Source organism: Homo sapiens, chromosome 15 (assembly GCF_000001405.40).
Source record: "Homo sapiens chromosome 15, GRCh38.p14 Primary Assembly".
Lineage (NCBI taxonomy): Eukaryota > Metazoa > Chordata > Mammalia > Primates > Hominidae > Homo > Homo sapiens.
The window spans coordinates 77937327-77961471 of NC_000015.10; the positions used below are offsets into that span (position 1 = coordinate 77937327).

The following is a 24145-nucleotide window of genomic DNA, read 5'->3' on the forward strand; positions in this document are numbered from 1 at the left end:
GAAATGTGATCCCCAATGCTGGAGGTGCGGCCTATAATGTGAGGTGTTTGGGTCATGGTGGAGGATCCCTCATGAATGGCTTAGTGCCCTCCCCATGGTAATGAGTGAGTTTTCTTATTTTTTATTTTTTATTTTTTTATTTTTTGAGGCAGAGTCTCGCTCATAGCCCAGGCTGGAGTGCAGTGGCATGATCTTGGCTCACTGCAACCTCCACCTCCCAGGTTCGAGTGATTCAATGAGTGAGTTTTCTATTAGTTCACAGGAGAGCTTGATATCTCCTCTGTCTTGCTTCTTCTCTCACCATGCGACACGTCTGCTCCCTCTTTGCCTCCCGCCAGGAGTAAAAGCTTCCTGAGGCTTCACGAGAAGCCTAGCAGATGCTTGTACAGCCTGCAGAACTGTGAGGCAAATAAACCTCTTGTATAAATTACCCGGTCTCAGGGCCAGGAGTGGTGGCTCACGCCTGTAATTCCAACATTTTGGGAGGCCGAGGTGGGTGAATCACTTGAGGTCAGGAGTTCAAGACCAGCCTGGCCAACCTGGTGAAACTCTGTCTACTAAAAATACAAAATTTAGGCAGGCATGGTGGTGCATGCCTGTAATCCAAGCTACTTGGGAGGCTGAGGCATGAAAATTGCTTGAACTGGGAGGCAGAGGTTGCAGTGAGCTGATCACACCATTGCACTCTAGCCTGGGCCACAGGAGCGAAGCTCCATCTCAAAACCCTGTCTCTACTAAAGATACAACAAATTAGCCAGGCATGGTGGTGCATGGCTATAATTCCAGCTACTCAGGAGGCTGAGGCAAGACAGTAGCCTGAACCCAGGAGGCAGAGGTTGCAGTGTCCTGAGATGGTGCCACTGTACTCCAGCCTGGGTGACAGAGCTAGACTTCATCTCAAAAATAAATAAATAAATAACCCAGTCTCAGGTATTCCTCTAGAGCAATGCAAAGTGGACTAATACAGTGTCCACTGGACGTGACACTCAGGGAAGGGCTGGTCTTGACTCTGCCGTTAACAGTCAGACTATGACAGAGTTGTTCCCCTGCTCTGCCTCAGTTTGTCCTCTCTCAGCTGAGCAGGGCAGGGATAATTGCTTCTCATGTGGGCCACAGGACAAAACAAAGCCCTGAGTCCCACAGGAAGGTAGGTGGGCTATGTCCAAAGGAAGACAGACCTGGGGCAGAATTTTATGTTCCCAGGGTGGCAGAGGGACATGGAGAAGACGCCTCCTTCGTGGGCAAAGGAGAAGGGAAGATAAGCAGAGAGGCGCCAGACACCCGCCTCGCCCCCACCTCCCCCACCCCACACCAGGCCCATTCCCACTCAGCCCCCAACTCAGGCTGCACCATTCCCCTTACGGTCAGCGTGACTTCCCGGCCAAGCTGACAGAAGCTGACAGCTTGGATTCATCAGAGACAGCACGTAGCGTAGATGATATGCAGGACGGAAGTGGAGAGGGGACATGGGAGCCGTGGTGTCAGGTCTGGGGCTGCCAACATGGTACCTGCCCTGGCTGGTCCTCCCTGCCAGATGTGGCCTCTAATTCTAAGGTCTCTGAGTTCCAGGCCAGGACTGGAGCCAGACTCCCCTTGGGGACAGGGGACACAGTCCACATAGACATCACCTGGGTTTTGGGCAAAGCCAGCTGGACAAATGAATGAAAGGGGCCCTGCTGGAGGGTAAAACTGGGCCTGGACTCCTCAGACCTGCCTCTGGGACAGCACAGTCCCATCCTTCCAGTCAGACTCCTGAGCTGGAAGCCCACCCAGCCAGGGAGTGGGGAAGGGGTGGCCTGCAGTCTCCCTTGAGTCTGTAGCCCCTCCCACCCACGGGAGCTCCATAAAAAAAGATGCAGAAACACCACGTGCTCCTCCCAGCTGCTGGCTGCTTCCTGGCATGGCCTCCAGGACCCTGGATGAGTCAAGACGGGGCTGCCAGCAGCTGGGGGCAGGGGGAAGCTGGGTCCCCAGGGTGGATGCCTAGCAGGAACATGCAGGCGTGGCAAGTGATGGGCCCTCAGGGCTGAGCCCCTTCTGCCCAGGGGACCTTGGTGACACACCTGCTGCTGAGCTCAGCCCAAGGAGTAAGAGCCTGGTGCCAAGTAGCCTCTCTGCTTGCGAAGACAGTCCTGGGATCGTTACCCCTCTGCCCAGGGCTCGAGTATCCAGGCTGGGGAAGGGCCAGCAGTCAGAAAGAAGGGGGCCGTGGGTGTGGGTCCCCCAGCAGTCAGGGGCCTTGGTGGACCAAGCCCCTATGAGGGGCATGAGGGGGAAGGGAGACTGAGCTGTACCCCCTACCCTGAGATCTGTGGTACCAGGCTCCAGAGGGGGCCCCGGGGGGAGACCAGCATGACAGGAACTGCTACGATGCCTCTAGGCACCTACTCTGCAGGGCTGGGCCAGCCTGAGATTGGCAGCAGAGGGGTGGGCCAGGCACCACCAGGAATGAAGCTTCGTTTGGTAGAGCTGTGACCCTCTTCATCCTCTCCTGACCCCCAGCTGACCCTCGTCCTCAGATCTCTGCAGAACTTTGACCAAGTGGTGGTGGAGGAATTCCGGTGGGTCCAGGGTGGCCCTGGGTGACCCAGGGCTCAGACCAGCATTGTGGGGTTGAGGACAGGAGGCTGGAAAAGATGACCTCCCCTAGTCCCGCAAGGCTGCACAGCCCCCTGAAATCTGTGATAATCCTCTCAGCAGGCCGGACCCACTGACCGCCAGAGTGGGTGCCACCTTCTTCAGGGTGGCGCCAGCCCAGGCCGTCGTGTGGGACTGTGCACGCCAGGGCCTGCACACCCTGTGGGAGGCAGAGGGCGTCTTGGTAGACACGGTCATCACCTCCTTCCCTCTGCAGGCCCGCCTCCCTCTGTTCCTCTGCCTCCTCCCTTGGGCTCGCTGCCTCCACATGCCCTGATCTGAAGCCTGCCTCCCCTCCTCATGGAGCCCTCCAAGGTGCTCCTAGTCCCAGCTCTCTGGTCCCGCAGCAGCTTCTGGGCCCAGATTCTGTCTTCTTAGAAGTCTGGGAGGCAAAGCCCCGCCAGGCCATGGCCTTCTTGCTCTGCTCTAGGCACTCCCAGCCCCAAAGCCTCCAGCCTGCTGGATGCCTTTATCTCCAGCTATGCTGTGGCTCTCCTCATCCTGGGCCTCCTGCTCGTCACAGTTGCCCTTGTCCTGGTGAGTGTCTGGCTGGGCCAGGTCTCCTTCCTGAGTCGCAGGCTGAACCTTTGACGCCTTGAACCTTTGAGCCAAGCTGAGGGGTGAGCGGGCCCCTTTACACCCTTGATTCCCCCATCCAAGCTCAGCATCTCCTCATCCTCCAGCTGGGGCCGTGGGATTTGGGGCCAGAGGGTTGGGCCTGATCCCAGTGTCCCCGCCCTTCTTGTCAAAGTGCTAAACTTGAGGGCATGCCTTGGGTGCTGACTTTCCCAGGAACTCACAGCCAGAGAGGGCCAGGCACCAGCCTGAGGTCACACAGCCATGGGCTTCTTCCTTCCTAGACCCACAAGGATTGGACTTGCAGGGCTGGGACAAATGTGGGGTGGGAGAAAACAATGCCTTGTCAACCCACGCAGGGAGCCCCACTCCCATCCCCAAGGTGCACAAAGTCGAGAAACACCCCTGCTCCCACGTCCATGCTCACTCAGGGCCCTGCTCCAAGTGCTTGGCACTCACACCAGCCTCCTGCCCTCCATGCTACAGGTATCGGTCTCATTTACAGACGGGGAAATGGTGGCCAAAAGCCTCCCCCAGCACACACGGCTAGACCACACAGAGGTCTTAGGTGCAGCTGAGGGGTCCACAGTCTCTGCTGTCCCTTCTGCCACTCGTGCTGCCAGGGACCACGCTTTGGAGAGGGAGGAATGAGAGTGAGCTGGGTGCTCACACATGGGGCACGGGGGACTAAGGAAGGGTCAGCCAGGAGGAAAGGGCAAGGTCTGATCCTGTACGTACACATCACAGAGCGCGCGGGGTCAGGAGACCGAGGGCCACGTCCCGGCTCTGCGGCTGCTCGGTATGTGACTGCGGTTAAATTGTCTCCCTGGACTCTCCACGCACTTTGTGTGCTGCGTGCACCTTCTAGGATGAGCCTGGACCCTGGCTGGCCTCATACTTACTGCGTAGGCTGCAGACCCGCAAGTGCTTCTGCAAGGGGCTTTGCTTCTCCTCATAACAGCGGCACAGGCTGGCCGCGTGCTCTGGGGGTAGAATGGAGAAGCTCTGGAGGTAGCAGGTGGGGGCCTGGCTTGGGCTCCTGGCCCAGACAGGGCAGGGTACACCTCAGGGTCACAGGGCCTGTCCCCTCTCTAGCAGCCCTTGGCCCACAGGCTGCCCAGCTGCCCACCCACAACCCGTACCTTTGGGCAGCCCCAGCTGCTGCAGTTCACTGGCCAAGGATTCGCCATCGACACTGTGCTTGGCAGTTCCGGAGAGCATGAAACTCAGCACTGCCACTGTGGCCTTCACATCGCCTGACTCTCAGGGACCCATGCATGGGACAGGGGGTGTCACTGTGGGCCCAGCCACCCCCCTGTTGCCCTATTAACTTCAGCTCAAAGCCCCCAGGCCTCCTGGAGCCACAGGCACTGCTACTGCTCCACCAGGAGCTGGCAGAGGACAGGAAGGTGGGACTGTCAATGTCTTTCTTTCCCTCATGCTCCTCCACTAGGGAAGGCAGGTTAAGGATACTGCTGGGATGTGTGTGTTGGCGGGGGGTGGGGGGTGGGGGCGGGCTCTGTACCAGGCACCAGGCCGAGGTCCCAGGGTTGCCTGGGGCCTGTGAACTCAGTGGGGTGCTCACCAAACTTGGCATCAGCCGTGAGTTTCAGGATCTTCTTATACTATGGGGAAAGGAGACCTTCAGGCGGTGCCAGGCCCCTGCTCACCAGCCCCTCACCTACAGCCTGGATCCTGCAATAAGGAACAGACAGGCTGGAAAGAAGTATGGGAGGTGCCCAGAGAGGTTGCAAGGCCGGGTCACCCGTCTCCCTGGGCCTAGTGCAGTTTCAGGGCAGGAGGGGTCATAAGGGCATGGGACAATGGGGTGCTGGATCTTGTACTCACATCAATCCCCTGTCCCAGCAGCTCCTTTAGTACCTGGCTGCAGAGCAGCCGCAACTTCACAGAGGACTGGAAGGGAAGTCCTTACATCAGCCAGGCTGGCAAACCTCACCCCTCCTTCCTGGGGACTGGCTCAGAGCAGGCCAGCCACTGATCAAGGTCACAAAGCATGGTAGCACAGGCTGAGAGCACTGAGGCCCTAACCCCAGAGAAACCTCATCATCATCTACACCCACAATCCCCACCCCCAACACCCCTCCTCCACTCAGACTACACCCTGTGCACTCAACCATCTTGGCCAGCGTGCTGATCTCTGCCAGCACCCAGTCGGGACAGTCCAGATCACCACAGAACCAGAACCTCTGCAAGGGAGGGAGTCAGGTAATCAGGCTGGAGGGAAGGCTGAGGTGTGGCCAGGATCTGTGTGTCTCCCACACTGCTGCCCAGCAAGGACCCCTGGTCCCCATCATAGATGGACACCCTCTGGCCATTTGTTCTCCCCTATCACCAGGCTATTGAGTAAACTCTCTCCCTGACCCACCCTGCCACCAAACCCTGCTCTTTGGTCTACTCCAGGCATTCATCTGCTCAGCAAACATCAATTGAGCACCTTTCTTTGTGCTAGCTCCCACTCTAAGAGCTGGGGGTACAGCAGGAGATAAAACAAAGTCCTGTGCCTCACACAGATGAGTGACCTCTCTCCCCTCTTCCCCATACCCACACAAGTCCAGCCACTCCGGCTTCCCTGCTGCTGCTCCGGGACACCAGCCTTGCTCCCGCCTCCATGCCTGCTGCACTCTCTACGTGGCTTGCTATCCTTTATTTCATTCCACTCTCTGCTCAAGTGACACCTCATCAGACCAGCCCCTCTTTTTTTTTTTTTTTTTTAAAGATGGAGTCTCGCTCTGTTGCCCAGGCTGGAGTGCAATGGCACAATCCACAATCTTGGCTCACTGCAACCTCCGCCTCCCAGCTTCAAGCAGTTCTCCTGCCTCAGCCTCCCAAGTAGCTGAGACTACAGGCATGTGCCACCACACCCGGCTTTTTTGTATTTTTAGTAGAGACAGGGTTTCACCACGTTGGCCATGCTGGTCTTGAACTCCTGACCTCAGGTCATCTGCACACTTCGGCCCCTCAAAGTGCTGGGATTACAGGCGTGAGCCACTGTACCCAGCCAGGCCCGCCCTTCTTGATGATACTTCCTAAAATAGCCCCTCACACAAGGAAATTTTGGGGGCCGGTGGATATTTCATTATCTTGATTGTGGTGATCCAACAGTCAGGAAGATTTGGTCTTTACTTGTCCAGCCTCATCCTTCCCTAACCTGCAGATAATACTCTCTCAGCTATGGGAAATGCATTCATTCCTGGGGAGTCATGCTCTCTCTAACCTGAAGTCTCTGCACATGCTGTTCCCTGTCTGAAGACACACGCCTCCCACCCTTGCCTCCCAACCCCTGGTACACAAACTGTACTTCAGCCAGCCAGCTCCTGCCATCCATCCGCCTTTAAGGTTGAAGGCATCCTCAGGAAGCCCCCTTAGCACTACACACAAGGCGCAGTTAGGTCTCTGCCCCTGGAGCCTTGACTATGACTCCAATTCAAGGCTCCGATTTCCCCTTCCCTCAGCAGCTCAGGTCCTCCCAGTGCCTAGCACACTTCATGGTATAGACTAGGCGCTTAGAACGTAGGGATGGATGGACTGGATGGATGGATGGATAAGTCTCAACCCCAAAACTACTACTTTCTGACTCTGGAAACAGCGGAGGGGCTGCCTAACAGTGTGGAAGTGTGATCCTAATTCTAAGCGCGTTCTTGTCTAAGTCCCACAGCAGGGCTGGGGAAGGGAGTGTCCTTGGGAGGTCCTCTTGTGGCTGGGGAAGACCCGAAAGGACTCCCAGCTCCAGACAAGCCCTAGTTCCTGCCCCGGGAGGCAGGGGCCCTTCCTTTCCCCAGGGAAGCACGGGGACTCTAAGCCGGCCGGCCTGCGCTGTCTTACCCGCCCCGTACCCCCGCCCCTGTCTCGGGAGCGGAGTAGCGGTGGACTTTTCTCACGCCCGCACACACTGTTTGCGGAGAGGCCAGGGCAGACAACCTCCACCCGTTTCCGGAGCCACTGGCGCCCCCTCATTCCCGCTCCAGCAGCCCATGCCTCGCTTCACCCCTGGTGCCTCATCATCGCACCAGGAAGCCAGGGCCCGGGAATTTCTTTTTCCGGTCCGACAGGGTCAACTGAGTCGACGATCACTTGACTTGGACTAACGGCCTCTGGGAGGGCGGGGCCTGCTCGAGTGAGGCCGGGAGCGGACCGCAGCCCGCTGGAGGTGCCGGGGGCGAAATGCTGGCGTCTCCTCCTCCGTCTCCCAGAATCCTTCCCTGGAAAAAAACAGCATCCACCGTCAGTTTAACTGAGGACCGAATTAAGGCATTAGGAAAGACAGTGGAAGTTATTTCATTTGTTTAACTTAAGGGGGTAGGATCCCGGGAGCCAGGGGGATTCAGGTCATTGTCATGTTTTCCACTGTTAAGCGAATAGCATTATACACAGCTGCGGACTGTGGCAAAAGACATTTTAAAAACTATTGAAGTCTACTACACATACAGAAAATTGTACCTATTAGAAATATAAAGCTTAATAAGTTTTCATCAACTGTACACCTCACATAACCAGCACCCAGATAAGGAAATAACCAGATAACTTCTTCAAGCGCATGGGTATTTTATTTCATTTTGATGAATCGTCTAGGTGCCTAACAAAAAGGGCTGTCATAATTAACATGCTCAGGAAAACTCCCTACAGCTTCAACATCAACAGATGCTTAATTTTTGCCAGTCTGATGGGGGAAAAAATCGGTTGCTTAGGTTGCAGTGGTAGTCTGCTTACTGGTAGCTCTGAGCTAATGGTAGCCTGGAACAACTAAGTTTCCGACATTGACTTGCAGAGGCAAAAACAAAAAGACAAAACAACAACAAAAATACATCAGAGAATAAACTAATAACCAAAGAAGAAACTGAAGACAGTCATCCCTTAGTAACTTCAGGATATTGGTTCCGGGACCCCAGAGATACCAAAATTCACTGATGCTCAAGGCCCTGATATAATATGGCATAGTATTTGCATATAACCTATGCACATCCTTCCGTATATTTTAAATCATCTCTAGATTACTATAATACCTAATACAATGTAAGTGCTTTGTAAGTACCTGTTATAAAGTATTTATAACTTTTTGCTTTTTATTGTTTTACTTTTTCCAAATATTTTTGATGCACAGTTGGTTAAATCCAAGGATCTTGAACCCGAGGATGCAGAGGGCTGACCGTAGTTTGAACTCTCTCCTCAATTCCATGCCTATCCCATGCACCAGGTGCAGCTGGTTTTATTGCTGCAGGCTTTCAAGTTTTCAAAAGACAGCTCATGGCAAGTAAACTGCTCTATAGAATAGAAAGAAATGGAAAGTGTCCCAATTCATGGTAAAATTGAGCTCATTTCTGAAGAGTTCTTTTACAAGTCATAAGCACTAGCCTGTTGAAAACCACAGTATGTTAAGTTACTAGACTATCCTATACCATGTCAAAGAAAAACTTTAAGGACATAAGACCTGTAATCATAACACTTTGGGAGGCTAAGGCCGGTGGGTCGCTTGAGCCCACGAGTTCTAGACCAGCTTGGGCAACATAGGGAGACCCCGGTCTCTACAAAAAATTAGCTGCTTCTGCTGGTGCACACGTGTCGTCGCAGCTACCTAAGAGGCTGAGGTGGGAGGATCTCTTGAGCATGGGAGGTGGAGGCTGCAGTGAGCCATGATGTCGCCACTATACTCCATCCAGCCTGAGCAACAGAAGGAGACCGTCTCAGAAAAAAGAAAAAAAAATGGCTGGGCGCAGTGGCTCATGCCTGTAATCCTAGCACTTTGGGAGGCTGAGGCAGGCAGATCACTTGAGGTCAGGAGTTGGAGACCAGCCTGGCCAACATGGCAAAACCTGTCTCTACTAAAAAAAAAAAAAACAAATGAATTGGGCGTGGTGGCGGGTGCCTGTAATCCCAGCTACTCGGGAGGCTGAGGCACGAGAATCGCTTGAACCCGGGAGATGGAGGCTGCAGTGAGCCGAGATTGCACCGCTGCATTTCAGTCAGCTTGAGCAACAGGGTGAGACTCCGTCTCAAAAAAAAAAAAGGTAACTTTTACTTCATCCTATCAATAGGTTAAAGAAGAGTAAAATGGACAGATTTGGAAAACCATTTTTTATTTAAAAAGAGAAAATTAGGAACAGATGAAAACTGTCTTAAGAGTATTTGAGAAACAAAACAGCAAATTTAACATCAGACAAAATATCTAAATTGAGAAATAAAGTTAAAAGGTGGATGGTGTGCCCTTTTAATGTCATACTGGAGCATTGTTTCATAGATACTTGTTTTACTATTAAAGATTGACTATTTAGAGCAGTGGTCCTCACACATTAGAGTGCATCATCATCCCCTGCAGGGCTTGTGAAACCGGCTGCTGGGCCTCACACCAGAGTTTCTAACTCAGTAGGACTGAGGGGGGGCCTAAGCACTGCATGTCTATGTTCCCAGGTGACGCTGATGCTTCCAATTTGAGACCATGCTTTGAAAAGCAGTAGTGTAGGGAAATATACTACAGAATATGTTGTGAATATACTGGAGAATATGTATATATGTTAACTTACAGAATTCTGTCCAGTAGAAAAGATAACTCCCAAAGATGACATTTTTATTTCCCAATATGATTTTTTTTTAAGTCAGAATCTTGCTCTGTCGCCCAGGCTAGAGTGCAGTGGCATGATCTCGGCTCACTGCAGCCTCCACCTCCCGGGTTCAAGTGATTCTCCTGCCTCAGCCTCCCAAGTAGCTGGGACTACAAGCGCCCAGCACCGCACCTCGCTAATTTTTGTATTTTTAGTAGAGACGGGGTTTCACCATGTTGGCCAGGCTGGTCTTGAACTCCTGACCTCAGGTGATCCACCCACCTCGGCCTCCCAAAGTGCTGGGATTACAGGTGTGAGCCACCATGCCCAGCCTGCCTATAGGATATTAACAAGTTTTGTCTCTATCTCAGAATGCATTTCAGAATGCCCTTCCTGGAGCACTACAGACACTGTCTCTCAAAACGCTCCTCTAACTAGCTTCACCGTGTTGCTGACTCCCTTGTAAATTAAAGAAAATATCTTATACATATTCCTTCATTATCTGTATGAAAGTCAAGCTTTTCACATTGTGAAAATTATACTTCAGGCTGGATGCAGTGGCTCACGCCTGGAATCCCAGCACTTCGGGAAGTCGTATTGATGGGATCACTTGAGGCCAGGCATTTGACACCAGCCTGGCCAACATGTTGAACCCCATATGTACTCAAAAAAAAAAAATCAAAATTAGCTGGGTGTGGTGGCACACACCTGTAGTTCCAGCTACTTGAGAGGTGGAGGCACAAAAATTGATTGAACCTGTGAGGCAGAGGTTGCCATGAGCTGAGATCGTGTCACTGCACTCCAGCCAGAGCCAGAGCGAGACTCTGTCTCAAAGAAAAAATAAAATAAAAGAAAGAAAATTATACTTCGATACAGTATGCTAATATAAAGGATATGATATTGTTTGGCTCTGTGTCCCCATCCAAACCTCACCTTGAATTGCAATAATCCCCACGTGTCAAGGGTGGGACCAGGTGGAGATAATTGAATCATGGGGGCAGTTTCTCCCGTGCTGTTCTCGTGATAGTGAGTGAGTTCTCACGAGATCTGTTGGTTTTATTATAGGCTTTCCCCTTTGCTCGGCTCTCCTTCTCTCTCCTGCTGCCCTGGGAAGAGGTGTCTTCTGCCATAATTGTAAGTTTCCTGAGGCCTCCCCGGCCATGCAGAACTGTGAGTCAATTTAAACCTCTTTTCTTTATAAACTACCCAGTCTTGGGTATTTCTTCATAGCAGCATGAGAATGGACTAATACAGTGTACTAATAACAGCCCAGACAGTAGTATACAGGTACTACTATACTTTGATGCTAGAGGTATTCCCATTAAGGTCAGGAGCAGTATGCGCTATCATTACCATGATCTAACATTGTTCCAGAGGGTTTTAGGTCAGCAGTTCTCAACTGGAGGTGATTTTGCCGCCCTGGGGATATTTGACAGTATCTGAAATCACTTTGGCTGTCACACTGAGGAGTGCTGCTGGCATGTGGCAGGCGGAGGCTGGGGATGCTGCTAAACATCCTGCGAGGCGCAAACAGCTCCAGAACAGAGAACTGTCCAGCCCTAAACATCAACAGTGCTGCTGTGGAGAAAGCCTGGTCTAGACAAATAAAACATGGGAAATCCATTAACATACATGTGGGTGGATAATCAACTGGCATTTGCCAATGGCAGTCTAGCTAGGAGGTCCAAAAGGAGCACCTGAAGGACAGTTAGATTTTGCAGGGGCTGCATGGTGGCTCATGCCTGCAACCCCAGTGCATTGTGAGGTCGCATTGGGAATATCTCTTGAGGCCAGGCGTTCAAGACCAGCGTGGGAAACATAGACTGCATCTCTACCAAAAATAAAAAAATTAACCAGATGTGGTGCTGCGCTCTGAGAGTCCCAGCTGCTAAGGTGGGAGTATCGCTTGAGCCCGGGAGCTGGAGGCTACAGTGAGCTGTGATCATGCCACTGTACTCAAAAAAAATTTTTTTGAGACAGCGTTTTTCTCTGTTGCATATGGGGTCTTGCTGTGTTGCCCAGGCTGGTCTCAAACTCCTAACCTCAAGCAGTCTTCCTCCCTCCGCCTCTGAAAATGTTGAGATTACAGGTGTGAGCCACTCCCCCAGCCTTAAAAAATAAAAATAAAAAATTACAAGGTATTATGTGGCCCATTGAAAGATGTTGGAAAACAGTTGTGCATGTGACCCAGCTGTAACCAGTTATAAAAGTGTCAGGATCATTAAGAAATGTACTGTGTCTGGCTTTCCCAAGTTTGGGTTCCTGCTGAAGGAATGAGATGGACCTTTTCTTCCTCCCCTCCTCACCTCCCTGCAAGAACCAGGATTGTGCATTTTGACGGGCAGGCTCTTACCTCTGACAGGCCACAGGGGGCATGCAGAGCCTTTCTGCATGTGCTTTTTGGGCACTCGGATAAAGACCCCCTGTCCAGGCCTTTGTTTAGGATATTTGGCCCATGGAGAAATGAGGCTGGAATCACCTGGGAGGGATAGAGGCTTCAACTGGAAGGAGGAGTGACCTGAACTCCAGGTTGTGGGCCTACGCTTTGTTCCCATGCAGCACCTCGTTAGTGGTGACTGAGGCCTGGAAGTCAGGGGCCTTGGTGACCAAGTGTTGAGTGGACAGGAGGAGCTAAGGGAGGTGAGGGGCATCTCTCCAGTACTGACCCCTCCCCATGCCCAAATCAATGCCCTCTATCAGCTCAGACACAGCCCCACCCAGCAGCAGTGCGGGTCAGGAAGGGCAAATGCAGTCGGCACGGATCTGCTCCATAGTCTCCACCTCACTTCGTCTCGGGTTGAGGGGAGTGAGTCCCCACAGCACTGATATGATATCCTGTCAGCTGAGAACATCCAGCTTGATTTAGACAGATAAGGTGGGACATCTCTAGGGCATGGTGTGTGGAGCAGTGCCATCCCTCTGTGGCAGCGAGCCAAGCAATAAACCAGAATGTGCAAAACCTGCGTCCCAGAATCACCATTCCTGGAGGAAAAGCCTATATTGTCAAGATGCCCACAACTAAATTAACCCAAACATTCCACCCAGCCTCGAAAAACCAGTAGAACTTTGACATTAATACACTAACCCTCAGTTCTATACGGAAATGTGTAAGAATAGCCAAATAATGTAACGTGCGGTCATTGAGAGAGAGAAGCCCGTCAGAACAAATGGAACCAAGTCCAGAAACATGTTTGTCTAGGCGCAAGATGCCAGCATGTGTGTCAGCCAGGGAAGCAGACCAGGAGGAGATATTAAGATTTAAAACCCAGCTCTGTAGCTCAGGCCTATAATTTGAGCGCTTTGGGAGGCTGAGGTGGGAGAATCACTTGAGCCCAGGAGTTTGAGGCAGCAGTAAGCTATGATCGTGCCACTGCATTCCAGCCTGGATGACAGAGCAAGACCCCATCTCAAAAAAAAAAAAAAAAGTGCTCAGATGCACCCTTACATGAAGCCACCTTTGGCACAGCTTCCAAGACTGGCCAGGCCTCACTCAGGACCATGGGTCCCAGCCATAGCTCAGTTTCCACTGCCTGAGTGGCACAGAGTCCTCAGTCCAGTCTCTATTGGGTCTCAGATCCCCCGATCATGCCCCTTCTGCCCAACCTCTGCCCCATTATGGCCTCCACTGACCACAGCCTCTTCCACCTTCCCAAAGGGACCACTGCTCATGTTCTCCAGCCCACAGGAGTGCCTGCTTCTCCAGGCAGCCCACCCTGCTAGCTCTGGGCTCTATGTAGAAGAGCTGGGAAGGCTGGATCCCGCCACTGAGTTCAGTCTCGGGGGTCTCCACCCATGCTAGGCTTCCACTGATGGGACATAAGTGGCCTGAGGGTTGTTTACATCCACACAAGAGCCCCATGGTGACCAGGAATGGGGTTCTGAGAGGTTACATGACTTGCCCAGGGTCCCAGAGCTGGCTAGAATTCCTGCACTGCCACATTTGGGCCTCCCAGTTGGGGGTCCGGACACCCCTCTGCATCTACCAGGCTGAGAAACACGTGTCTGCTGCAGCTTCCTCCCAGTGACTTATAGCAGCTGCAAATTTTTGGGGGGCCTTCTACGGGGCCCACCACAGCAGGGAGCCAAGAACTCTTAACAGAGCCCTGTGTTCTCTCTCCGCCCCCTTCAGCTCCGAACTCATGTACTAGCTGCTCTGATGTAAAAACAGACCTTGGTGAGGATGTTGGGACTCTGGCCAGTAGCCCAGGCCTTCAGGAATCAGGTGATGTCAATCTGGAGAGGAGGTGCCTGCTGCGGGGAGCAAGCATGGGCCAGGGTCCTGGCCCCCTGCAGGGGTAGCCCCTCTTCCTTCCCATGGTCCCATCTGAAGGCATCCAGGGTAGAGTGCAGTGTTCAGCTGTGTCCTGGGGTCCAGGAAAGCCAAGGAGAAGTTGCTCCACCTGCTGTCCACCAGGTACCCCAGCAGAGAACAGCCTCAGCCCACCCCAGCCCAGCACCAGATCCCAGGGACTGATCCACCTGTAAGAGGGCAGCATGGGACTGCCCCCATTGCCCCCAGAGAGTCCCCTCAGTCATGGGCTCTGACCAGGGTGCAGGTGGGCCCAGCAGGCTGGCCCAGCATGGGTGTGGCTGCCCATTGGTCCTCTGAAGAGCCTCAGGGGCTTGTGGCAGCAGGTGTATGTCTGGGCTTGGAAGCAGAGGATGTCCCGCAGCCAGAAGGCAGGGGGCACTTGTTTTGCATTCCAGTCCTCTGCAAGGACAGGGACCCCAGGCTCTGGGCACCCCAGCTCTGCCCACCCTACACCCACAGCCTACCACCATTTGGCCCAGGCAAGTTGCCCCAGCTCCCACAGAGGGAGCCACCCTTCCCACCTCCTGATGTTTGCCCACCCCAGTCAAGTTCCATTCTGGAAAAACCCTCCACATCCTTGGGAAGGCACCTCCTCCTTGACTCCTTTCCAGTGCTATCATCCCCACGTTCATTTTCTACCTATCATTGGATGCAGAGACCCGCTTCTTCCCTGGGCCAGGGCTGCTCTGGAGGCAGGGAGGTTGTGACCAGGCTGTGGGGTATAGCAGAGCACCGGGTATAGACCAGACTCCCCAGGCACACCTGGGCAGAGAAGTCAGAGACCCACAGGTGAATGCCCCTCTTTCCAGCCCCACCCACCTCACAGGCAGAAAGAGGGAGGCTTCACAAGGAGGTTGAGGTAAATAGGGAGCCCGGGTCACCTCTGTCTGATCTCCTGCCCTCCTGGGACAAAGCCAGAGGTTGGAGCTGGGAGGTGTTGAGAGCCCTGGCCCAGCCCTGGTTTCACTGATGAGGCTCAGGGAGGGGCTGGGTCAGCCTAAGTCACTGGGTCCATAAGGAAGGGCCCTTTCCATAACCCAGGACCCTAGAGCTAGCCGAGGCCACATCCCTTTCCCACGTAGACCAAGTAGGGGCATGAACTGGCTTCTGGCTTCTAAGGCCGAGGCCCAGCACACCTCTCCCTCCCCTTGCCTGCAGCTGTTGTCACACATCAAAAGTGCTTTTTTTCCCCCAAGGTGCTGGAGGCGCAGCTCCTTGGGCTGGACCAGGTGGCCAATCCAAACAAGTCCTTGTGTGTCCCCCACCAGCCAGGAATTCTCATGCCATGCAGCAGCTGGGGGCACTAGGATACCCTGGGGGATTCCAGGGATGAGCCCTCCCTGAGGCTCCTACAGCAGCACTGCCACCCCCAGACCTGCCACCAGCTCCGTTTCCATGCAGCCTTCAAGAACCTGGCCCCTCACACACACCTGCCCCACTCCTCACACCTGGCTTTCCTGTGAAACGTGGAACTGGTTCCACCTGGGCCAGCTGGAGAAGGGCCTCAGGAAATCACCATTTAGGGGGTTCGTTCCAATCATTCATTCATTTATTCACCAAATACCCACTGTCCACCTTTCTGTACCAGGCCAGAGGTGATGGGTCAAGCAGAACACATGTCCCAAGGAGCTTTCCTCTCTTTAGAGACAGGCAGGTGGACTCTCACACCATGAGGTGCCCTCTGGGCTAGGGGGTGCCCAGGGCTGGATGCAGGGGCGGCCCTCGCCCACAGGAGGTGCTGGTGGGTACTGACGTGGAGGCCACCAGGGGGTGAGGGTGTCCAGACAGAGGACCTAGCATGTGCCCAGGCCCAGGGTGTGACCGGGGGCAGGTGCAGGGCTGCTGTATCTGGAAGGCTTCCTGGCTCTGCCAATGATAGGCTGTGGCTGGATCAGGCTTCATGTCAATTTTTAACATTTAATAAATTTTGATTATGTAACTAAACATTGTGATAAAAATTGTGAAATATAAAAGCTAAAAACACAAAAACCAGCAAACCCCTTCTCTCCCCAAGTAACTACTTCAACAGTATTTTCAGACTTTTTTTCTCATGTATCTGCAGCTATAAACATAAGCTGCACAAGATAGTATCCTTCCCCATATTCTACTTTGGAGCTGGATTTTTCACTCAGCAGTGAATAGAGGCAGGCTTTAAACAGGCCACGCATTGTGAGGGCCCTGGGAAAGGAGACTGACCATGTTGCTGGGTGACCTTGGGCAAGTCTCGCCCTCCTCAGAGCCTGGATTTCCTCAGTCCGGTGAAGGGCAGGAAGGGCTGCAGTAGGACTACATCAGCGCTTCCCAAACTCAGAACCGCCACGTGGAGCTGTGTGAGCTGTCACTGCACAACCCCAGGGGCAGGAGCATTCTTGTCACGGCCTCTGTGAGTGGGGCTCCTGCCCAAAAGTGTGCTGTGCCAACCTGGGGCCCACAGGAGGATTTTAGGCGATATGCGGATGAATTGATTTTTACCATTTCCTTCTATCTGTAGTGAATGAGACCGATTCTCACCGGGAGGGCGTGTTAAACCACAGGTCGCTGAACCCACGCCTCAGAGGTTCTGATTCAGGAGGTCTGGGGTGGCGCCTGAGAATCTGCATTTCTAACAAGTTCTCAGCTGATGGGGATGCTGATGCTGCTGGCTCAGGGACCACACTCTGAGAACCACTAACCACAAGTTTCCTTTTATTCATTTATTTATTTAAGGCAGGGTTTTGCTCTGTCACCCAGGCTGGAGTATAATGATGCAATCACAGCTCACTGCAGCCTTGACCTCCCAGGCTCAAGCAATCCTCCTGCCTCACTTCTTGAGTAGCTGAAACCACAGGTGCATGCCTCCACGCTGGATTTTTTTTGTTTTTTGTAGAGACGGAGTTTCACCATGTTGCTCAGGCTGGTCTCAAACTCCTGGACTCAAGCAATTCACCTGCCTTGGCCTCCTAAAGCAAAAGTTTCCTTTTTAAATACATTTATTTAGGTTTTAAAAATGAGTTGACTTAAAGCACAGGAATAGATCTTCAACACTAACCACTGGGGAAATGCAAATTAAAACCACAGTAAGATATTACTACAGATCTATTAGAACAGCTCAAATCAAGCATAGTGATAGTATCAAATATTGGTGAGGATGCAGACAAAACTAACTCTCATACATCGCTGGTGGGAATATAAAATTTTACAGACACTCTAGAAAATAGTTTGGCAGCTTCTTTAGTTAAACATACACCTCAATATATGACCTAGCAATTGCTTCTGGGCATTTGTACCAGAAAATAAAACTGATTTTTGCACAAAAACTCATACATGATTGTTCATGGCAGATTTATTTGTAATAGTCCCAAACTGGAAACAACCAAATACTCCCCAATAGGTGAATGGTTAAGCAAACTGCTACATCTATTCTATGAAATACTATTCAACAATAAAAAGGGAGCCAGGCATGATGGCTCATGCGTGTAAACTCAGTGCTTTGGGAGGCCGAGGCAGGCAGATCACCTGAGGTCAGGAGTTCGAGGCCAGCCTGACCAACATGGTGTAACCCTATCTCTACTAAAAATACAAAAAGTTAGCTGGACATGGTGGCGGGCACCTGTAATCCCAGCTGCTCAGGAGGCTGGGGCAGGAGAATTGCTTGAACCTGGGAGGCAGAGGTTGCAGTGAGCTGAGATCACACCATTGCACTGGGCAACAAGAGCAAAACTTCATCTCCAAAACAAAAAAACAAAAAGCCAGCTATGATGATGGGTGCCCATAATTCCAGCTACTCAGGAGGCTGAGGCAGGAGAATTGCTTGAACACAGGAGGTGGAGGTTGCAGTGAGCTGAGATCGCGCCACTGCATTCCAGCCTGGGTGACAGAGTGAGACACCATCTCAAACAGAAAAAAACAATAAGGAACATGCACAACTTGGATGGATCTCAAAGGGCATTTGCTGAGTAGAAAAAAAAAAAAAGCCAGTCTCAAAAGGCCACATACTGTGTGATTCCATTTATACAATGTTCTTTTCTTCTTTGGTTTTGTTTTATTTTGTTTTTGAGATGAACTCTCACTCTGTGGCCCACACTGGAGGGCAGTGGCATGATCTCGATTCACTGCAGCCTCTGCCTCCCGGGTTCAAGTGATTCTCATGCTTCAGTCTCCCAAGTAGCTGGGAGTACAGGCACGCACCATCATGCCTGGCTAATTTTTGTATTTTTACTAGAGACAGGGTTTTGCCATGTTGGCCAGGCTGGTCTCAAACTCAAGGCCACAACAGTTCCACCTGCCTCAGCCTCCCAAAGTGCTGGGATTATAGGTGTGAGCCACCGTGCCAGGCCTTCATTCATTCATTCATTGAGAGATTCTCACCCTGTCTCTCAGGCTGGACTGCAGTGGTAGGGTCACTGTAGCCCCCACCTCCCAGGTTCAAGTGATTCTCCTGCCTCAGCCTCCCAAGTAGCTGGAACTACAAGCTGGTGCCACCACGCCTGGCTAATTGTTGCATTTTATAATGTTCTTGAAGTGAAAAGATTATAAAGACAGAAAGCAGATTAGTGGTTGCCAGGAGTAGGAATAGTGGAGGGGAAGAGCCAGGAATGAGTGCAGAGGAATAGCAGGAGGGGGATTTTCATGGTGGTGGAACAGTTCTGTGTCTTGATTGTAGTGGTGGTTAAAGGAGTCTACATATGTGATTAAATGGCATAGACATGACATTGTTAGATATTGTCCTACATTTATACAAAATAGAACCTTTGGAGGAAGCTGAGTGAAGAGTACATGAAACCTCTCTGTACCATCTTTGAAATTTCCTCTGAATCTATATTTCCAAATAAAAGGTTAAAATTTGTAAAGTTGCTTTAGACAAAAATATTAAAAATAATATTGATTCTATGCAGGTCTGGCAAACCTTTGACACATTGAATGACTGGCATCTCTAACCCATCCAATGCACAATTGCCCCTGGCCAGGCCCTGTCCTAGGCTAGGTCACCTGCTGGAAGATAGGACTCTGGACTCTCTCCTGCTTGGCTTTGGGGTAGAGATGCTAGATAAAATATAGGACACCCAGTTGAATTTAGATTTCTGATAAAAAATCAACTTTTTTTTAGTAAGTACGTACCATGCATATTTAGGACATACTTATACTAAAACTTATTTCTCTCTATTCTTTTTTCACCATCCTTCACAGGTGTTGATATTTCTCTAAATTCTTTAATGTATGTACAGTTACTTTAAAGCTCTTGCCTAATAATTCTAATGTGTGAGCCATTTATGGGTCTTTTCTTTTTCTTTTTCTTTTTTTTTTTTTTTTTTTGAGATGGAGTTTTGCTCTTGTAGCCCAGGCTGGAGTACAATGGCGCCATCTCAGCTTGCTGCAACCTCCACCTCACCTGGCTGGTCTTGAATTCCTGACCTCAGGTGATCTGCCTGCCTCAGCCTCCCAAAGTGCTGGGATTACAGGTGTGAGCCACCATGCCTGGCCCTTTTTGTTTGTTTGTTTCTTTGAGATAAGGTCTCACTCTGTTGTCCAGGCTGGAGTGCAGTGGCATGATCTCAGCTCACTGCAACCTCCACTTCCCAGGCTCAAGCCATCCTTCCACCTCAGCCTTCCAAGTAGCTGGGACCACAGGCACATGCCACCAGCAGTCCTGGCTGGTTTCGTGGAAGACAATTTTTCCACAGACGGGGTTGGGGGTGGTGGTTACGGTATGAAACTGTTCCACTTCAGATCATCAGGCATTAGATTCTCATAAAGAGTGTGAAACCTAGATCCCTCGCATGTGCAGTTCACATTAGGGTTCACACTTCTAGGAGAATCTAATGCCTGCTGATCTGATGGGGGGCGGAGCTCTGGCAGTAATGCTCGCTGCCCACCACTCACTTCCTGCTGCGCAGCCTGGTTCCTAACAGGTCACTGACTGGTAGAGCCCACAGCCTGGGGGTTATGGACCCCCACACACCACCACACCCAACTCATTTTTGAATTTTTAGTAGAGATGAGGTTTTGCCATGTTGCCCAGGCTGGTCTCGAAGTCTTGAGCTCAAGTGATCTACTTGCCTTGGCCTCCCAAAGTGCTGGGATTACAGGCATGAGCCACCATGCATGGTGGGTCTGTTCGTATTGACTGGTTTTCTCTTAATTTTAGGATGTATTTTCTCACTTTTTCACTTATCTAGTAAGTATTTCTTGATCTGTTGGACATTGTGAACCTTCATTGTAGAGATATGGATTATGTTATCCTACTCTAGTGTTGAGTTTTGTTTTGCAGGGAATTAAATTACTGATGGGTTAACTTGATCATGTGTGTCAAGGCTACATTTTAGGCTTTGTTAGGGTGAGCTGTTTTTCAGTTTTGCCCTTATTCCTAGGGAATCTTCCTTAATCCCAAGGCATGGCCTTCTAGGCCCTCTGTGAATGTCTGGGATATTCATCAAGACCTGAGATTCCAAGAGTGGAGACTCTGGTTGAGCCAGAATTCGGGTGTATCCCCAGCACTCTGTGACCACTGAAATCGATGTTTAGCTTTCAGCTCCCCATCGGCTGTTCTGTGCTGGGCCTTGCAGAGTCTCAATCCACACATTCGTAGTTTGGGATTTGGCCAAGGACCTGCAACAACCTCTATAAGATTTCTGGGGCTCCTTCTCTGCAACTCCGTCCTTTCTGATACTCTGCCACACACATTTTAGCAGCCCTGAGTGGCAGTCCCTGTTTCCTCCACCAAACAAGACTGATCCTCTTGGCTTGGACTCTGCTTCCTCATGCTGTCATTGAGGGTTTGGAAACTTTCCCCACCAGAAAAATGTAGCAGTCACTTCATGTGATTCCCTTCTCTCAGTTTGTACCTGGAACTGCCTATTGCCCAATGCCTGAAGACAATTTCTTCATGTACTTTGTCCAGCTTTGTAGTTGTTTATGCTGGGAGACCATCATCAATTCAGGTACTCCATCATGGCCACAATTCGAAGTATGATTAATATCATATTCATTCTATTCTAAAAGTAGAGAAGACAAAGACCAACAATTCTAAGAAAAATTGAAAAAATATATGAAAGTTCAAAGAAAAATGCAAATGCCACTGACACACAGGAAAAAATGTTTAACTTCACTGATAATAAGAAAGATACAATTTTAGGCTGGGCGCAGTGGCTCACACCTGTAATCCCAGCACTTTGGGAGGCTGAGGTGGGAGGATCACTTGAGGCCACGAAGTGTAGGTGGCAGTGAGCTGAGATGGTGCCACTTGGGGTGACAGAGTGAGATCCTGTCTCAAAAAAAAAAAAAAGATATATAAACAACATCCTGCAACCTCTACATGTGGCCATGATTGATAACAGGGACCAGATTTGCCTCCCACCTTGAACAACTAGAAAAATGGAACAACATATATAAAACAATAGTTTTCGGACATTGGAGAACAGGTCGAGCAGAACTATGATCCCTAAAAGAAGGTGAACCCTACAGTGTCCTCAGTTTACTGCCGGAAGCAATCACAGGCTCCAACACAGCAGGGGAAATCCAAAGTCCAGTGACGTGTACACCACTCTTGAGCTGTTTTCTATTAACCTCCAGGTCCTTCAGGCCAGCCCTCCTGGGGCTCTGCCTTGGGAATTGGTATTGGTAACAAAGGGAATAGAGAGGAACATGCATAGAGCTCTCCATTTAGACTGACATATTCACACTGGGTTCCAGTTTCAGCTGAGAGACTGTAAGCACATCGCTAGCCCACTCTAATCCTGTATCCTAGCTGTGTAATCACCTATTTCCCATCAATTGCAAGGCTGGAGAGAAAAGTGCCCACTCTGGCCAGTACACAGTAGGAGCTTAGTAAGCTTAAGCTCGCTTGCTTCCCCACTATCCTAACGTATTAGGGGAAAGACAGAGATGTGGGGAATGGCACCTGGGAGGCTCCAGCTGTATGCTTCACAATCCTACCAATGAAAAATCTGAATTAGGCTTCAGTTTCCCTTCTACAAAATGAGACAGGACAGGAGTGGGTAGGAAGAGGAGGAGCTGGGCTTTGTTGGTTTAAGCTGGGCCCTTCTGATTCTGTAACGTGAACTTCACTGTTGGGTCCAGCCCATTCCCCTGCCGGGGCTTCGCGTGCTCTGTCTTTTGGCCAAGTCCAAGTCTGTCCAGGGTTGGGGTGGGGAGAAGCAGTTCCCCCATATAACCTGCAGGTGGCACCAGAGCCGCGCGGGAACCGAGGGTTCTGTTCCAGCCTTCCTGGAGACTCGGGCAGGGTGGGGTAGGGCGAGGCAGAGGTGGTGCACACCGCTCAGCTGGGCAGCGGCACGCAGCTGTGGATCAGCCCACACCGTTTAAAATGGACACATGGGTCGTCCGGCTAATTTCCTCTCTTTGGTAGGGTGAGCATATGCTTTATCATCCAAATCCAGACACTTCGGAAAGTGAAAGGGGGCACTATCATAATTGCACCAGGATAGTCATAACCTTAGCTGTACCTTGCAAACCAGAACCTCTGGTCACCCTACTGTCTGATCACTTTTTCTTCCTTGTTTCTATTCTTTTAATTGTTTTTTTCTTTTTAAACACACAGCGTTTTCTTTCCCCAAGGCCCACTGTTTTTGAAAATGCTGTTGCATTCGTGATATTTTCGACCAGGCAACATCTGCCTTGGCATCTTGAGTCTGAACAGTCTCTCTGAACCCATCCCAAAGGCTGGTTTTAGCTTCCAGTCAGAAGATTCTGTTCTTGGCTTGCCATCTCCATGACTCAAGAATTAAAGATGTCAGATGTGGAACAGTGACCCTTATATCAACTCTGGTGCCTCTTTGCTACATTTATTCCTGCAAATTTTTATTTGTTTGTTTGTTTGTTTGTTTTGAGACGGAGTCTCGTTCTGTTGCCCAGGCTGGAGTGCAGTGGCACAATCAGGTCACTGCAACCTTCGCCTTCTGGTTCCAGTGATTCTCATGCCTCAGCCTCCCAAGTAGCTGGTACTATAGGCGTCCACCACCACGCCTGGTTGATTTTTGTATCTTTAGAAGAGATGGGGTTTCACCCCGTTGGCCAGGCTGGTCAGAAACTCCTGACCTCAGGTGATTTGCCCGCCTCAGCCTCCCTAAGTGCTGGGATTACAGGCCTGAGCCACTGCACCTGGCCGTATTCCTATGGTTTTGTTCTGAGTGCTCATGTCCTTTGTCTCTTTGAATTTACGTATATTGGTTTATTGAATTGCAAGTAGACAAGTCCCATTAAGCGCAATTCTTATGTTTCCAAGATCATCTCATTACTCCATTCAACCCCAAATTAGCATGCCTTTTATCCCCTTGTTTCTGAACCCTCTTCACTTAATAGTCTCATAAACATCCATCCATTGCAAAAAGGACTCTAACTTTTCTCACTTCCATTTTTAGTTGATTCATTGCTATCCAAGTAATGATTTGTCTGGGGGAGTCATTAGTAGAGTACAACTCTACATTGAGTAGAGAATTGTGCTCTTAAATTTATTTTTATAGTTGGATTCTGCTAGTTAATATCTCTCTGTCATTCTCACATTGCAACTAATGACTATGGGTTTCTGTCTCAACCTAAAATCTAGGTTAGAAATTTGGTTTTATGTGAATAAGATATTCATAGATAATGTGAGAAAAAAATTAACTTACTGAAACTTTTCTCAGTTAAGAATGACATTCGTGGTCACAAATATGTATGTAAGCAAGTGGAAAACTGGGCTGTAAATATATAAACTGAAAATATTATGTTTAGAGACAAGATTTTTCTTTTTTCTTCTTTTTTAGTAAAGTATATTTGCTATGGTTGGAATGATTGTGTCTCCTCCAAAATTCATGTTGGAACTTAAACCCCAATGTGATAGCATTAGGAGGTGGAGTCTTTAGGAGATGATTAAGTCATGAGGGAGGAGCCCCCACATGGATGGGATTAGTGACCTTATGAAAGGGCTTGAGGGAGCCACCTACCTCAGTTTTCTTCTTTTGTTTTTCTGTCCTTTCCACACATTGTTCAAAGTGCCATATTGGCAGTCCCCAAAACATGGCTAAATCTCACATGATTCCATGGATTAGTTTCACCTGTTCTTGAACTTCATATAAATGGAATCAGTATG

General features: G+C 50.5%; 1 pseudogene across 1 annotated transcript, besides 4 other annotated features; it reads right to left on the bottom strand.

Annotated features, from left to right (window-relative positions):
* Positions 1-894: 894 nt before the first annotated feature.
* COMMD4P1 (COMM domain containing 4 pseudogene 1) lies at positions 895-7235 on the bottom strand (annotated as a pseudogene). Its single transcript, NR_157580.1, has 5 exons — positions 7057-7235; positions 5062-5127; positions 4799-4838; positions 4356-4475; positions 895-4196 (listed from the first exon to the last, which is right to left on the bottom strand). The product of NR_157580.1 is annotated as a COMM domain containing 4 pseudogene 1 (transcript).
* Positions 7101-7395: an enhancer, noted in NCBI's record as "tiled region #89; HepG2 Activating DNase unmatched - State 1:Tss". NCBI's record gives its function as "activates a minimal TATA promoter and a strong SV40 promoter by Sharpr-MPRA in HepG2 cells {active_cell/tissue: HepG2}" and the evidence as "EXISTENCE:reporter gene assay evidence [ECO:0000049][PMID:27701403]".
* Positions 14323-14823: an enhancer, noted in NCBI's record as "H3K4me1 hESC enhancer chr15:78243991-78244491 (GRCh37/hg19 assembly coordinates)". NCBI's record gives its function as "activates a minimal SCP1, AML or CMV promoter by ChIP-STARR-seq in primed H9 embryonic stem cells {active_cell/tissue: H9 hESC(primed)}" and the evidence as "EXISTENCE:reporter gene assay evidence [ECO:0000049][PMID:30033119]".
* Positions 22081-22375: a silencer, noted in NCBI's record as "tiled region #9982; HepG2 Repressive DNase matched - State 4:PromP". NCBI's record gives its function as "represses a minimal TATA promoter and a strong SV40 promoter by Sharpr-MPRA in HepG2 cells {active_cell/tissue: HepG2}" and the evidence as "EXISTENCE:reporter gene assay evidence [ECO:0000049][PMID:27701403]".
* Positions 23034-23579: an enhancer, noted in NCBI's record as "OCT4-NANOG hESC enhancer chr15:78252702-78253247 (GRCh37/hg19 assembly coordinates)". NCBI's record gives its function as "activates a minimal SCP1, AML or CMV promoter by ChIP-STARR-seq in naive H9 embryonic stem cells {active_cell/tissue: H9 hESC(naive)}" and the evidence as "EXISTENCE:reporter gene assay evidence [ECO:0000049][PMID:30033119]".